This window comes from Homo sapiens, chromosome 3, assembly GCF_000001405.40.
Source record: "Homo sapiens chromosome 3, GRCh38.p14 Primary Assembly".
NCBI classification, from domain to species: domain Eukaryota; kingdom Metazoa; phylum Chordata; class Mammalia; order Primates; family Hominidae; genus Homo; species Homo sapiens.
The window spans coordinates 55,351,046-55,368,476 of NC_000003.12; the positions used below are offsets into that span (position 1 = coordinate 55,351,046).

Here is a 17,431-nt window from a genome sequence, read left to right on the forward strand (position 1 = left end):
TGATAAGTCAGTACTGTGCAACTTATGAGGATAAATTCCTGAGCACTTTGCTACCCTTCCCTTTGCCTTCAGGGGCTTGGTGAGTTCTTCATTCATCAAGGTCACTGGCAGGGAAGATGCTCTAATATTAAACATGCATTCATCTGCACTTCAGTCACATTTCCCATTTTTAGTTAAAACTTTGTCCTGTTCATTTTTTTTCCAGTAGAAAAATGAAAAGCATCCTGCCTCAAATTAATAAATCAGGAGCACCAGCGAGCAAAAGGAAGGAAAATTTGAGGAATGAGAAGGTCCTTGAACACAGTGTGGGTGGCCCCTTATTTCTTTTAAATTGGAAGTAGCTTTGTTGATAAACATGAACATACACCACACCATTGCCATCATCTCCAGCTTGTTCCCTGCTGTAGAACAAGTGGTTGGCATTTAGCAGCATTAACAGTGGCCACCACTACCTTCTCACCCACCTGCAAGAAATGTGATGTTCACACTATTTGAATCCAATTAGTTTTAGCTGACATACCTCTTTCTACCTCCTGTTCCTGCCTTCTGGAAACTGCAAAGTGAAATGGTGACTACCTGGACTGAGGCATAAATGAATTGGTACCTGCTTTGTGAGTCCTCTTTTACAGACAACCATCATTATTAATTCCTCCCTAAATAAAAATACCATTAATAATACATGCAAAACAATCATCATGGAATCCCAATGCAAAGAGGCATCTGGAAGACCCATTCGAGAGCAAAGATTAAGAAATGCAATACAAGGAGAAATTAGCACCAACCCGACTTTATCCTTGGTAGTGATGTGTATATGTGCGCATGTTTCTATCTGCCGTCTCCCTAAGCCATTCAACTCTCCTAAGGAGAAATCTATTCAAACATCTGTGTCCAAATCATCCCATTTATTCCCTCACTCTCCTTTTTGGATCTTGGCTGGGGTCAGATCTTGGCTGGTCTCTTCAGAGAGAGAGAGTGAGTGTGTGTTTTTTCAAACGCAAAGTGTTTTGGATGAGGCAGAAGATGACTCCAGAGGAAATGCGCTTCTCCTCACATCTTGTTTTGGATCCTGGATGGTGTTTACCACAGCCTGGCCCGGAGGCTCTCTCCAGTCACAAATCCCATCTCGACTCACCCATAGCCTTGCGTGATGTGTTCATACCTCCATGCTCTTACAGTTTACCTGGGAGACCGTGGATTCCTTGGTCACCTGGGAGGCCCTCCTTCCAGTTCCTTTGAGGCAGAAAGCCATTAATTTCAGCAGACAGTTCCAGTTTCCTCTGCCCTCCAGGGAATGTGTCTCTGCAAAGGAATCAAAAGGCCTGGGCTAGCATGACTAGAAGGGGTTATCCTGTCCTTCTAACTGACAGGAGAAGGTTGTGGTCACACAGAAACTATGTGCATGTGGACTGGACTGGTTCTGGGCAGCAGAGAAGAGAAATGTCTTTTGGTGTGTTTGACACACATCAAGAATTATAGCCAACCGGAGAATTCTCCACACTAACATTCTAATGAGAAGACCCTGCCAACATCACTACCAAAACAAGTTCCGACAGGAGAACAAAGGAAGCAAGAAGTTTCCCCCAGATGTTAGCAGGATGAGCAGTATGCGAGGGTCCTGAAGTCTTCAGCCTAATTTATGCAATGGTCAGGTTTATTTTAAGACTTGAATGTAGACCTTCAAGTCCTTCAAGGTGGTTGACTTCACGGAACACCTTTTACTGCTCAGTGAGCATGGTTTACCATGGCTGCCTTTCCCTATCAGAGATCTCCCTGGCCACTCATGCAGATGTCAACACAGCAACAACAATGATATGATAAATCACCCTTTGCTTTTATGTGTTCACTCCTTGACTCACACATGCACACACACACACTGAAGATGTTAGAAACTGGGCCTTGCACTAGAGGGAGAGGTGCCAGGGCAGAGTTATGAAAAGCACAGCTTTTCCCCTTGCCCAGCTGTAAACTCCAATCCCATTGAGGCAAGGAATACAGACTATCACTTCATTATACAGAGCGGTGGGTCTCAAACTTTGGCAGCATCAGAATCACTGGGGTGCGGGTGAGGGTCTGTTCAACACAGATTGCCTACCCCACCTACAGAGTTCTCAGTGGAGCTGGGGGTGGGGGTGCTGAAAATGTGCATTTCTAACAAATTCCCCAGTGATGTAGAAGCTGCCCGTCCAGAGATCACACTGAACACCACTCTCTAGGTAGTACACTGGGGCCCATGAGAGCCAGTAAAGGGCCCAATGTATCCCTAATTAATGAGGGGGAGCATCAGTCCATGTTGAGAAGGCCACAGTGCACAGGCGAGCTCCATCAAAGCTGTGGAGCATCCACCCAATTTAAGGAAAGTCTGTGCTTCATTCAGTGCCGTTGTGCCCTGCCTCATTTCTGCTCAGTCAGACCTGAGTGCTAATTTGTCCCTCTGGTTTCAAACCTGGCATGAAATATCCCTAGCAGGTCATGATTTAAAAACTATACATTAGATAATACATGCTGTGTTCCAGGTACTTTCATGCATTATTTTATTAAATTATTCACAGCAATGCTGCATAGGAACAACAATATCTAATATGTAAATATCACTGATTCTGTGCCCAAAACTGTTCTAAATGCTTTGGATGAAGGATCGGCAGACTAGTAACCCATGGACCAAATTTCATCCACTACCTATTTTGATAAATTTTATTGCAATATAGCCACACACATCCACCTACGTTTTGTCTATAAGTATTTTTCTCCTAAAATAACAGAATTAAATAGTTATAACAAAGACTATATGCCCCACAAACTCTGAAATACTTTCTCTCTGGTTCTTTACAGGAAAATTTTGCCAAATCTTGCTTTGGACTTGCTGTAGATCCAATAATTTATTTAGTTCTCCTAACAACAGTAGGGGTAAGTGCTATTTTTTGTTGTGGTAAAATACACATAATATGAAATTTACCATTTTAATCATTTTTCAGTGTATAGCTCAGTGGCATTGAGTACATTCACATTGATATGTGATATGGTTTGTGACAATCTTGAATTGTAGCTCCCATAATCTCCACGTGTCATGGGAGGGACCCAGCTGGAGGTAATTGAATCATGGGTATGGGTTTTTCCCATGCTGTTCTCGTGACAGTGAATAGGTCTTATGAGATCTGATGGTTTTATAAAAGGCAGTTCCTGGCCAGGCAGGATGGCTCACACCTGTAATCCCAGCACTTTGGGAGGCCGAGGCAGCCGGATCATGAGGTCAGGAGATAGAGACCATCCTGGCTAACACAGTGAAACCCCGTCTCTACTAAAAATACAAAAAATTAGTCAGGTGTGGTGGCAGGTGCCTGTAGTCCCTGCTACTCAGGAGGCTGAGGCAGGAGAATTGCCTGAACCCAGGAGGCAGAGGTTGCAGTGAGCCAAGACTGTGCCACTGCACTCCAGCCTGGGCAATAGAGCGAGACTCTGTCTCAAAAAAATAATGTTTTTTAATTGTTATTTGTTTTTTTTTATTATACTTTAAGTTTTAGGGTACATGTGCACAATGTGCAGGTTAGTTACATATGTATACATGTGCCATGCTGGTGTGCTGCACCCATTAACTCGTCATTTAGCATTAGGTATATCTCCTAATGCTATCCCTCCCGCCTCCCCCCACCCCACAACAGTCCCCAGAGTGTGATGTTCCCCTTCCTGTGTCCATGTGTTCTCATTGTTCAATTCCCACCTATGAGTGAGAAGATGTGGTGTTTGGTTTTTTGTTCTTGCGATAGTTTACTGAGAATGATGATTTCCATTTTCATCCATGTCCCTACAAAGGACAAAAAAATAACTTTTTTTAAAAAAGGGCAGTTCCCCTGCACACGTTCTCTTGCCTGCTGCCATGTGAGATGTGATTTTGCTGCCCCTTCCCCTTCCTGCCTGCTGCCATGTGATATGTGACTTTGCTCCCCCTTCCCCTTCCTGCCATGATTGTGAGGCCTCCCCAGCCATGTGGAACTGTGAGTCAATTAAACTTCTTTCCTTTATAAATCACCCAGTCTCTGGTATTTCTTCACAGCACTATGAAAATGGACTAATACAATGTGCAACTATCACCACCATCAATCTCCAGAACTTTTTCATCTTCCCAAACTCCCTCCCCTACCCCCAGCAACCACTATTCTACTTTCTGTCTCTATGAATTTGACTCCTCTAAGTAAATACCTCTTAAACGTGTAATCATACAGTATTTGTCGTTTTGTGCTGGCTTATTTGACTTAATGATTTCAGGTTTATCCATATTGTAGCATGCGTCCGAATTTTTTACTTTTTAGGTGAAACAATATTCCATCATATGTATATACCACATTTTGTTTATCCATCTGTTGATGGACATTTGAGTTGTTTCTACCTTTTGGTTATTTTGAATAATGCTGTGATAAACATGGGTGTACAAATATCTGTTTGAGTCCCCGTTTTTTATTGTTTTGAATGTATAGCCAGAAGCGGAATTGCTGGATCATATAGTAATTCTATGTTTAATTTTTTGAGCAACTGCCATACTACTTTCCACAATAGCTGTCTCATTTACATCCTCATCAGCCACGCACAAGGCTTCCAATGTCTCCACATCCTCACCACCACTTTCAGGTTTTTGTTTGTTTTAATAACAGACATCCTAATGAGTATGAAGTGATATCTCATTGTCATTTTGATTTACATTTCCTTAGCGATTAGTAATGTTGAACATATTTTTTTTCATGTGTTGATTGGCCATATGTGTCTCTTCTTTGGAGAAATGTCTATTCAAGTTATTTATCCACTTATAATCAGGCCATTTGTTTTTCTGTTGTTGAGTTGTAGGAGTTCACATGTTCTGAATAGCAATCCCTTATCAGATAAATGATTTGCAAGTATTTTCTCTCATTCCATGGGTTGCCTTTTCACTCTGCTGATGGTGTCCTTGGATGCACAAAAGTTTTAATTTTGATGAAGTTGAACTTACCTATTTTTTTCTTTTGTTGCCCCTACTTTTGGTGTCCTTTTCAAGAGATCATTACCAAATCCAATGCCACGAAGTTTTTGTTTTCCTGAAGAGTTTTATAGTTTTAGCTCTTTCATTTAGATCTCTGATCCATTTTGAGTTAATTTCTTATATGGTGTAAGGTAAGGGCCCAACTTCATTCTTTACATGTGGATATCCAGTTTTCCCCATATCATTTGTTGAAAACACTATCCTTTCCCTCATTTCATGGTCTTGATGCCAATTAGAAAATCATCTGATCATATATGCAAGGGTTTCTTTCTGGACTTTTTACTCTATTCCATTGGTCTCTATGTCTGTCATCATGCCACTACCACACAGCATAGATTACCATAGCATTGTATTAAGTTTTGAAATTGGGAAGTGTGAGACATTCAATGTTGTTCTTTTTCTAGATTGCTTTGGCTATTGGGGGTCCCCCGAGATTCCATATGAATTTTGGGATTTTTCTATTTCTGCAAAAAAAAAAAAAATGTCATTGGGATTTTAATAAGGATTGCAATTAATCCGTAGATCACTTTGGGTAGTATGGACATATTAACAATATCAAGTCTAATCCATGGACACGGGATGTCTTTCATTTTATCTGTATCTTTAATTTTTGCAGCAATATTTTGTAGTTTTCAATGTACAAATCTTTCACCTCTTCAGTTGTTTATTCCTAGGTATTTTATTCTTTTCGATGCTATTACAGATGGAATTGTCCTCTTTTCTTTTTAGATTGTTCATTGTTAATGTATAAAAATGCAAATGATTTTTGTGTGTTGTTGTTGCATCCTACAACTTTGCTGCAGTTAAGTGCTGTTTTTATCCTCATTCTACAGATGGGAAAACTGTAACACAGTGTGGTTAAGTGATTTGCCTAAGTCACTCATCTAGAAGTAGGGGAGTTGAAGTTGCAACTGGGCATTCTGTTTCCATACTCCCTTCTCTTCACCATTAATTTTCACTGACTCTTTTGAAAAAGTAATTCACAATTACTTACAGCACGGGGTAAATCCAGAATCCAAACTCAGGTCTGACTCCAAAATTTTGCTTTTAACTACAACTGCATTCTGACAGCCCTAGGACACCCCAAACACAAATCCATCAATTAAATACCTTGGCTAATCAGCAAAGAAGAAATTCAAGCTTTTTAAAAAGTAAATTGATCTATGGAAAAGGTGAATGAATTCAGCCAAAGGTGGATAGGACACTAGAGGTGGGGTGACACCCATCCTGGTTTTCCTCTGAATCATTCCAGATGATGCATATGGTTTAGATTAGGAGTCCCCAACTCCAAGGCCATGAACTGGTACCAGTCCATGGCCTGCCACACAGCAGGAGGTGAGCGGGAGTGAGCGAGCCTCACCACCTGAGCTCTGCCTCCTGTCAGATCGGCGGTAGCATTAGATTCTCATAGGAGTGCAAACCCTATCATGAGCTGCGCATGTGAGGGATCTAGGTTGCACATTCTTTATGAGAATCTAATGCCTGATGATCTGAGGTGGAACAGTTTCATCCCTAAATCATACCCTCCACACCCCCCAGTCTGTGGAAAAATTTGTCTTCCATGAAACCAGTCCCTGGTGTCAAAAACATTGGGGCTTGCTGGTTTAGATGACATGTTTTAGACCAGCCTACGTGTCCTCAGTTGGTTACAATTCTAAGATGAATTTTGAAAGGCTACAAAGGAAGGTAACACCTAAACAAATTTCTCCGGAATCCTCCCCGCATGTATTTTACAGCCTCTCTCCTCTAAAGAGCCATGTGGAGTTGGCTGCTTAATGAGGACTCTGAGCTGCAGGGTGAAGGTTCCAAATCCTGTGAAAAGCCCAGGGGTGGCTTCCAACCTTAAGTGCCAATGAAATGACACCAGCTGGCCTTATTGGAATCCATGGGACTCCCAAGCTGCCCAAGAGGTGGTCACTGTACCTTACAAAGGAATGCAATGGACCCGTCCCAAAGGCCTTGGGCATCAATCCCAAAAGGCAATGAACTTGAACTACACAAGCCTCCTCATTGGCTGCTGCTGTGGATGTTGTAAAAGACCCTGCCCAGTGGCTTTGGGCCTGAGTAAATTTTGGCTTGGCTGACCCAGTCCACTAAAATGAATTGGGCATGACCAAGGTGCAGGGATGCCAGCCCTTCCATTAACAGGGAAGCCATGCAGGAGCAGCAGAGAGGGTCAGCAAAGCAAGAAGGCAAACAAAGGCTCTTCTCCAAATGGGCCAGTTACAGGAAGGAGAGGAGGAAAAGGGAGAAGACAAATCTGGAGATCCTTAGGGGATGGGTTTCTTTACAAATCCATCTTCATGATTGCAACGAAGCCTAAGGAAAGGGCTCGTGATGCCACTAAGCAGATGTGAGCACAGCATATGAACACTTCCAGAACATCCACGAGCCTCAGCCTCTCACCTGTAAAATGGGGTTAACACACCTCTTTGCTCCTAATAACTACAAGGAATTACTGCAATGATCAAATGACAGGATGTGGGAGGAAACAGAAAAAAGTTTACATTGTTAAATACCCTTATAGGAACATGGGTATAATCTCATAGCACTGGCCTGGGGTCATGTGGAAGGTTGGTGAAAATGGGGGTAGAAATCAAAGGAGCCTTCAGCTTTGAATGCAATGCTTTAATTTTGTTTTAGGGTAGTGAATTCATATATAATCTCTATAATTGTAAAGGCATATATATAAGTACATTGGGCTCTTTGTTAAATGGGACAGAAAGGGTTCTCTTATAAATTCCTCTTGTAGAAAAAGACTAGAACCATACATGCTGTGTTAATAGGAGTTAATTCCAAGGGCTGTAATTGTTTTACATTGTACATCACTATACTTTAAAAAATAATAATTTAAAAGGAAGATAAGGCACTCTTCTTAGGAAAAGGTGAAAAGGTCTAGAAGATGGAGATAAATGAGAACATAGAAGAAAAGAAAGAAGGAAAAAGAAAGAGAAGAAGGGCAAGCAGGAAAGAAGGGCAAGAAAGAGAAAAAGAAAAGACGATCTCAAGTCTTTTTGTCAGAGGTGTGTAAACCTGGGCAACTGCATCTTGAATAGGAGCTGGGTAAAATAAGGCTGAAACCTACTGGGTTGCATTCCCAGATGGTTAAGGCATTCTAAATCACAGGATGAGATAGGAGGTCGGCACAAGATACAGGTCATAAAGACCTTGCTGATAAAACAGGTTGCAGTAAAGAAGCCTGCTAAAACCCACCAAAACCAAGATGGCGACGGGAGTGACCTCCGGTCATTCTCACTGCTACACTCCCACCAGCGCCATGACAGTTTACAAATGCCATGGCAACATCAGGAAGTTACCCCATATAGTCTAAAAAGGGGAGGCATGAATAATCCACCCCTCGTTTAGCAAACAATCAAGAAATAACCGTAAAAATGAGCAACCAGCAGCCCTCAGGGCTGCTCTGTCTATGGAGTAGCCATTCTTTTGTTCCTTTACTTTCTTAGTAAACTTGCTTTTGCTTTGCACTATGGACTTGCCCTGAATTCTTTCGTGTGTGAGATCCAGGAACCCTCTCTTGGGGTCTGGATTGGGACCGCTTTCCGCTTTCCTGTAATATTTTTAGAACAAAGCTGTGGCATAAATAGATGATAGAAGCAGAGATCATAATTTTCTTTAAAAGTGCTTTTGAAGTGCTATCAGTCTTCGCATGGTAAATGCACATGCCAATTTAAAACTAATCTTGCAAATATCCACCTCTTTACAAGGGGTAAGAAGGTATGTTAGAACAAACTGTTAACTGTGTTGAGGAGAACCGACTGATACATCTTCGCATGAAACCCAGTGACAAGCTCAACTCTACTGATGGAAACAAATTCAGACTCAGGATCATTCTTATGGGACTGGGGTGGCATTCACATTTGCACCAACCAAGATAGAGGAGATGTCGGGATGTTAAGAGAAAGCAGCTACAGGAACAAGACAGCGGAGACCATCTAGAAGCTCTTTAAATAACAATATAACAACATCCATTTGAACAATGTGCTAACCTCTGAGACTCTTCTAAAAGGTTTGGCAGCATCTCATTAGCCATCAGCTTCTTACTGTAGCTAGGAAAAGTAAGAAAACTACAATTCTTTTTTTCTTTAATTCTAACACATTGACTTCTATTTGAGATAGGACAGTAGGCATTAAACCTCAGCGCAGTGGGGTACCATCAGAAGGGTTTCGAGCAGAGGAGCTATGCATGGTTTATCATCTGTTCTGTGTGCCCCCACCAGATCCACTCTCTGCCCTTCTCCATCCTTCTCTCTATCCCAGGAGGCCGACCTCTATAAAGTTCATTCCCTGGGCCTTCCTGCTGTCTACATTTGAGTTGGGTTTAGTCAATGGAAGGTGCCAGAGGACATGGAAACAAGGAGAGGACAGACAGGCTGCGGTATTTATTCTTTATTCATTCATTCATTCATTCATTCTACTGCAGGCCTACTCCTTCATTGATTCCACTCAGGGGCTCCTGGCAGAGAGCCCTTTCCTACAGCCACAGCTTTTCCTGGGGACTGGTAACTCTTCCCTGTCTTTTCTGATCATACTAGCTGCAGCACAGTAGAGGGTCCAGGAGGGCAAGAATAGATTTGGGGACAGTAGTTGAAAACTGTTCTATGTCCAGGAGACAGCTGGTGATGGTTTGGTCCAGGGTTTTGTAGTCTGTAGTGGCAGAGACAGAGAGAAGTAGGTAGATTATGAAAACATTAAGGAAATAAAATCTCTCAACCCATGGTCATCGATCAGACATGAGGGTGAAGAAGACTCCTGAGTTTTAGGTCTGAGAAATCTGATGGATAATGGCCATTTGCAGAGATAAGGAGCACATGGATTCCTTAACCTCTCTCATGCAAACTTACTTCATGAGTTACTGAGTTGTGGGGAAGGACGGGAAAGATCCTCATTTTCTTTCTGCCATTCACTGTGAGATGGCAGAGGAAGCAGCACCTGGACCTGGGTAGCGGAGGGCGTTTTAGGGGGGTGTGGCTCCATGCAGTGGAAAGGACTATTTCCTTAGCATGTATTTGAATAGCAAGAGCAGCTCTAGACATCTAATCTGCATCTGCAGAAAAGTCGCATGCTATTTTTCTTACAGCTAATGAAGACAGATCAGGCAAAGCAACTTAAAAATTTCATTTTTTTTCCTAGCCCTCTTAAGTACCAGAAAAAAATAAATGTAGATATATAATTATTGTGCATTTTGAGAAAGAAAAATCTTATATGCAAAGAACGTTTTCATAAATCACGTCTATGATTTAAAAAATATGTTTTGAGCAGACACAACTGTGCTTTATTCTGCATCTGTTTCACATATACAAATGTGTCAGGTTTACATAAACCACACTGATACAGATGAAAAATAAGGGAAGAACAAGATAAAAATAGCTCTTATGGTATCAGTAACACGTCTTTTATTATTATAATATATGATAGCATTGCAATCAATCACACTCTTACACTGCATTGGCTAGTGACCTCGAATACCACAAAGGAAGAGCTAGCCAACATCCAGGAATCAATTCTTCCAGCTTAAAAAAAAAAAAATCTTCAGTATCATATATTTGGGTAGCTGGTGACTATTTCAAAATTGTGAAATGAATCAATCTCATCTCCCAAGTGTTCCCAGGTCCTGCTTTCAAATGTGTTCTTTTTACATGATACTCACCCAAGGCAGGAGTGGTGAAGGGAACGACAACCTGTCCCTTTTCTGATGCTGCTACACATAGATCATCTATAAATGCAACCACCAAACCAGCCACTGGTAGCTTCCTAGGCCTGAAAGATAACACTGCTGATTTGTACTTTTATCAATCCTTTCTCTTACTATCCTTGACTAGCTGAGCAGATTGCAGCTGGAAAACTCAACTCATTTTTTTCCTTCAACTGAAGAAATATTTAGCTTTTATATTATGATTGTAAAAGTTGTAAGCTCTCAGGAAGATTTTTAAAAAATATATGCAAACGATTCTAGTAAGTGAAACTCTGCTTTCTTACTCATTGACTAAAGGATGCATTTTTTTCTCATAAACTTGGATTATTTCTATTTCTCCTAATGCTTTAGCTTTACTTTGTGTGCCCCCATTAGCTCCAACCTTGAAGTCTACTGATCTATAAGAAGACACTCTACTGTTTCACCAAGGGCAAATTTACCTGGGGATAAAGGATTGTTCTGTAATGCAAATATTTACCCCAGATGATATAATATTTTACCAGTTTTGATTTTCAAATCTTGGGGTTGCTTAAAATTTTCCTGTCATCTTGTTGTCTCATTGTAAAGCCTTTGGCATTTTGTACATATGAATCAGAAGATTATTTTTCTCATTCCTGAAGGGTGACTCCACGTAAGCATAAGATATTCCTTTGTTGTGGCTCTGTTCTAGGTGTGACACTTATCCTTGCAGTTCTAGTTTATGTTTGTTGATTTCCCTTTGCATTTTCATGATGGTCATGTGAGGCCTCCCTGGCTAGAAAAGATGAACATTTGAACTCCCTAGCTCCTGGTTGGGCCTATTTCCTCTGACTTTTTTGTATCTACTATAGCGCAGTTCAGTAAGAAATAGGAACAATCTCATGGAGACATAAGCAGGAAAGAGAATTCTGGAGAATTCTCTTCCTTACTGCTTTCATTCCAGTCTCCCAGGGAATGCCCTCTTCCCATCTAAGAACTTACTCAAAAGGCAGTTGCTATAGAGAAAACTCCCTCCAGACCCAGCTGCTCCTGGTTTCCTATCAGTGGTTAAGAGCTCCTTCCTCCACAGTGCATTTGTAAATCACAAATGCTCTCCAGTAAGCCAGATAACAAGTTCCTGGAGGCTGAGGGGCTCTGCGCTTGTCTTCTTGAAGGGTCCTTCCTCATGATTGAATAAACATTTGGTGATTAACTGCTAGAGTTTTTATTTTGGTTTTTCCCCCTTTTAATATCTGCTCATCCATGGAAAATGTGGATAATAAATGGAAATAAAAATTTAAAAATCAACACTGAATCTCATCACCAAGATATACTACCTTGTATCCTCAGTTCTCTTATTAGGGACATTTTCACACAATAAAATACAACAAAATATTTTTTCCCCTCTGTGCCATGACATATCTATAGATATAAGGTGCCTAATTTGAGTTTGGGTCTACTGTATCTGGTTCCACTGTTAACAAGGTGAGGTCTAAGTCTACAGTGTAGCAAGATAAGTCAACAGACTGAGGAGTTCTACCAATTTCTAGTCTTTCTCCTGCTTGTGCCATCTACCATTGACTCTATGCTCCCCTAGAAAGAAAGGGAAGTCTTGAGTCTCTGAACATAAGTGAGTTTCTTTCAGTTCCCTAAACATACAATTCTCCTATTCCCTGGCTCCCAGGCTTTTGCACCTTCTATTTCCTCTGAAATGCTTTTCTCCTTTCTGATCCTCCCTCTATGCCACAGCCCCTGTGGAACTTGGCTATTTCCTGCTCAAACTTCATCCCTTCAAGATGGAGACGGGTTTCCATCTTATGTGCTTTCCTAGCACCTTATGCTTCCCCACTCAGCACGTTACATACTGATTATAACTTGGCCTATACACCAGCTTCCCTGCAAGGTTGGGACATTCATAAAGACAAGCATTATATTTTTCTTGTCCACCATTGGATTTTTAGCACAGTGCTTCTAAATGGTGGGCATTCAATAGCATTGCTAAATAAATCAATGAATGAAAGCACAGAAATAAAACAATAAAGTTGAAAGATTTTCAAAGTCTTCTTTGCTTTTCCAGGAAGGCAATAGTCATTGTGCATAAAGTATTTTTCAATTAATTTGATTTAAATGTCATCCACTCATTCCTTCTTCTTCCAGACACAGAAACCTAAGGTTTTGATTAGGAAATCATTGTTCCCTTCCTCTCAGGCCATGTGGATTAAATAAGGCTGACTCCATCCCTCACTTCCACGGGTATAAAGAAGACCCAAGTCAAATTAAAAGAGTGAGCCTTGAGATTTTTGAGGGTACTACTGGAGAAAAAGGATTTATCTTTCTATTGGGGTTGCTGAGTTGGTAGAATGAGGCCTGAAGCTGTTGATGGCCATCTTACTTCCACATAGGGAGAGCTTTCCTGAGAATGAAGACAACACAAAGAAAAGCAGAGCCAGGAATTACAGAGGTACAGTTTCATAATGTCTCCATTCAAATATGTTTTCTGAAGCAATACTACCCTTGAGCTTTTGTTACTTTTATAACTTGCGGTTATAAACCTCATTTGCTTAGTTCAATTTGACTTGAGTTTTTATAACTTGATATAGAATCTTACCCCTTTTATTCCATTCCATGCAGTATGTGTAGGAGGATTGAGGACAAGACTCCAATTAAGAGATCCTTCCTAGACTCTCTCCAGCCATTGCTCCATCCCATAAAGCCAGGAGGAAATTGATCGCTTGGCACCTACATTCACGATGACCCACTTCTCCAAAAATTTCACCATTGGATGGCCTCTCTTGTCACGACACCAAGGCCTCAGAGGTATGAAAAACACAGACCTCACCCAGAAGAAAAAGCTTATCCTCTTTCAGAACGCATGACTATATGTCAAGATAATGATCTTCAGCTCTGCTATGAGGAAACATTTACAAGCAGCCCCTCCAGAATCACAAAATCTACTTTGCCAGACATTCCTGGTCAGGGAGGGAACTGGAGAATCTCTTTCCTACATGACTTTTACATTCTTTTGGTTCTGAAATATGAAACTTACAAAATTTAAATTTCATCCCCAAATTCCTAAATGCCTGTGAGGTGGACCCACTGGGTTGACTTCTTATGGGCAGTACTGGCCCTTTGGCAAGAGCTGAGCCACCTTCAGGTGAAGCTGCTCTCTCTTTGAGAAACATGGATGTTCCACTTGGATGGGAAGCTCTGGGAAGATATTGTAAAACTTACTTAGGAAATAACCACAACCCTAATACCATGGACACACAACAGTCCACTTGGCAGAACACCTACCTGAGGAATTACAGAAAAAAACCTCCTAATATTCTGCTAAACATTTGAAAACCTAGCTCTATCCAAAAAGATCCTATGAATATATAGACACACTTTTGCACACAGACACAGACACACACACACAAACACACACGTATTTCTTCAAGCAGAGTAGAAAACGGCAAAGTGAATTTTTCTGGTCTGGGAATTTTTACAAAAATTCTTACAAAGATGTAAAAATTAAGTCCCATTCAGTTCAACTCATCCAGAATTCTCTTTATTGAAAATAAGAAATGTAGAGGAAATTAGGACTGTCCTAGAAGTCCTTGGGATACATGCACGGTTATATCCATGGGGTATTGCATCCCATATAGGAAGGATGAGAGGCATAAAAATGAAGCCAGGGCTTGGGTCCTATCCTCTTAAAGCAAATAGAAATCTCACTAGACACTTAAAAATCCACAATTCATTAATGCTCAATCAATTATTTGAGCTACAAAATGCTTTGACTGTCTGCAGGGCTATTTGCAAAATTAATGCCTCATGACTAGAGATACCCAGTATACACAATAGTCTTCTCTTAATAACCTATGAGATAACTTTAATCCCAGGAAAAGGAAGACACAAATACAGTCATGTGCCTGTGATCAAAGACAGACCGCATAGAAGATGATGATCCCATAAGATTATAATGGAGCTGAAAAATTCCCATCACCTAATGATGTCTTGATGATCCTGACCCTGTGTAGATCTCGGCTAATGTGTGCGCACGCGCGTGTGTGTGTGTGTGTGTGTTTCATAGTTTTTAACAAAAAGGTTTAAAAAGTAAAAAATATAAAAATGTTTAAAAGTAGGAAAAAGCTTTTAAACTAAGGATATAAAGAAGGAAAATTTTTGTATAACTGTACAATGTGTTTGTGTTTTAAACTATGTGGTTACAAGAGTCATAAAATTAAAAAAAGATTAAAAGTAAAATGGTTGCAGTAAGCTAAGGTTAATTTATTGAAGAAAGAAAAACATATTTCAATAAATTTAGTGTAGCCTAAGTATACATTAATAGTATTTATAAAGTCACAGTAGTGTACAGTAATGTCCTAGGCCTTCACATTCACTCACCACTCACTAACTCACCCCAAGCAACTTCCAGTCCTGCAAACTCCATGCATAATAAATTTTATACACAGGTATAATATTTTTTATCTTTTATATCATATTGTCACTATAATTTTTCTGTGTTTAGATACACAAGTACTTACCATTCTGTTACAATTGCCTACAGTATTCAGTACAGTAACATTCTATACAGGTTTGCTAGGAATAGGCTCTACCATATAGCCTAGGTGTGTAGTAGGCTATACCTTCTAGGTTTGTGTAAGTACACTCTATGTCATTTGCACAATGATGAAATTGCCTATCGATGCATTTGGCAGAATGTATTAAGCAACGCATAACTGCGTATGAAATCATTAATGACTATGCACTTAAGTCTCTCTTCCTCCTTCCATGAAACCCATTGGGGCTGCATGTGTGATTAAACCATACCACCTCTGTTCCCAGGTCTCATGGCATGGTGGTACCTAGGCATGGCATGCCTAGTGGTTAGAAGCCTAGTTCCTAACTAGGATTTGGATCCCAGTTCTGCTGTTTGTCACCTGTGTGCACTTGAGAAAATCACTTAACTTTCCTAATTCTTGGCTACCTTTTTGCATAATGATGTTGTTAATAATAGTACTTGTCTATTAGGATTGCTGACAGTGTTACATGGGATAGTGTCTATAAATTGCCAGCATTACCATTAACTTCTAAATGGTGGCTTTGTTGAGGAGTATCTTCTTGGAACTGATGTTCTCAAGGACACTGGGGAGAAAAGGCTGGTCTTAGCCACCTGATGTTCTCTCCCAACGTTAGGAGTGGAGACATTTCCAGACAGATCTGATGCTATTTTCACTGGGCTGGAATGGAATGTACCTGAACATGGAATCTTTGAAAATGACAAACCAGGAATAAGAAGAGACATGATAAGAAGCTATAAGCCAGCAGGGCTGCTCTCAGAGGGCTGAGAGCTTCGCAGGAGAGGGGCCAGATCTGTTTGGCCCACCACTGTTTCTGTGGTACCCTGAACAGTGCCTATCACAAACTGGGGCTTGATCAATATTTGTTAAGCAAGGGAGGAAAAGAACAAGCAAGTGATTACTGATCAAATGCTAGTCTCCATCAGGGCCACATCCTGGAAAGTCTTGGCAATGCCACCAGTGAACACAGGCAGGGTTAAATGCCACTTTGCCTCAGCACCACAGAGGGACATTGAGGGTGACAAGTTACCTTGTTAATTAGAGCCCCTCGCTTTGTCCTGACTGGGTGGGTGAATAATAATGCAACAAGAACTTTAACAAATAAACTCACTGCAGGTCTCAGGAGTCACCACAGCACAGTCATCACTTTCTATATATTTTCATTTATAATGATTTCCACTGGCTAATGCCCAAATAAAGGAAAAACAAATACCTAGCAGTCAACAGTTTTGTAGCACGTGGCAGACATTTCTAATCCATTATGACACTGTATTTTTCTTTGGCTTAGTCTCAGACACTTTCTCAATGTGACATTCCAGAGAGCCACGAGCAATCAACTGGAGCTGGCCTTTGAGGTGGGGACATTCTGTCATCTTTCTTCTCTATGGGTTTCCTTTTACACCATTGTAATAGTCATTTGTTATCTTTCCTCTGCAGCATCCACTCTTCCTTTCTATGATAACATCCTAATTTTCATTTGAGGACCACTTCTCTTCCCTTCCTTATTGTCAACCAGTGACACTGACTCCCTACCCGAGTCTGGGGCTACAGCGCATGACCAGTTGGCTTCCTCCACTCCCCTAGCCCCCGGGATTGGTTCGAGGATGGGATGAGTCAGGCCAATCCAAGCCAATGCTCTTGGATTTTTGTTGAGCTGGTAGGGAAACTCACCCTCATTCTGGACGTGTCATAATCATGAGAACTTAGAGTAGCCAGTCAAACACCAAGGAGACTGGGAATGAAACCAACGAGGCAGCAGGCAGAGCAGAGGGATGGGGAGAAGCGAATTCTAGTGATATCATTTAAGTCCCTGGATCCAGTCATAACTGAAGTTAGATATTCCTGGACTCAAGGGTTATAAGTAAAAATGCCTTTTTTTTTTTTTTTTGGCTTCAACTGGTCTGAACTGGATGTTCTACAATCTGAAACCACGAGAATAAGACTTAAAGAAATATCTATTCTGGAACATTTCTCCAATTCTTCCAAGTTGTGGGTCCTGGGAAAAGACCCTGGAACTCCCCCTGCCACACACACACACACACACACACACACACACACACACACACACACACACACTCTCTCTTTGGCAACTTCGACTTGGCCTAGCTGAGGAAACTAGGCCGTCAGGGGAGGCCATCTCCTCCCAGGAGCGGGGGAGGGCACCATCTAATGCACAGAGGTGATGTCCAG

General features: G+C 41.1%; 1 long non-coding RNA gene across 2 annotated transcripts; it reads right to left on the reverse strand.

Moving 5' to 3' along the window:
• Positions 1-9,397: 9,397 nt before the first annotated feature.
• On the reverse strand, positions 9,398-17,099 carry LOC124909383 (uncharacterized). 2 transcript variants are annotated; one of them, XR_007095918.1, is made up of 2 exons: positions 16,455-17,099; positions 9,398-9,670 (listed from the first exon to the last, which is right to left on the reverse strand). It is a non-coding gene; the product is annotated as an uncharacterized LOC124909383 (long non-coding RNA). The 2 variants fall into 2 exon arrangements; XR_007095919.1 differs by lacking the exon at positions 16,455-17,099 and adding an exon at positions 10,674-10,783.
• Positions 17,100-17,431: the final 332 nt, after the last annotated feature.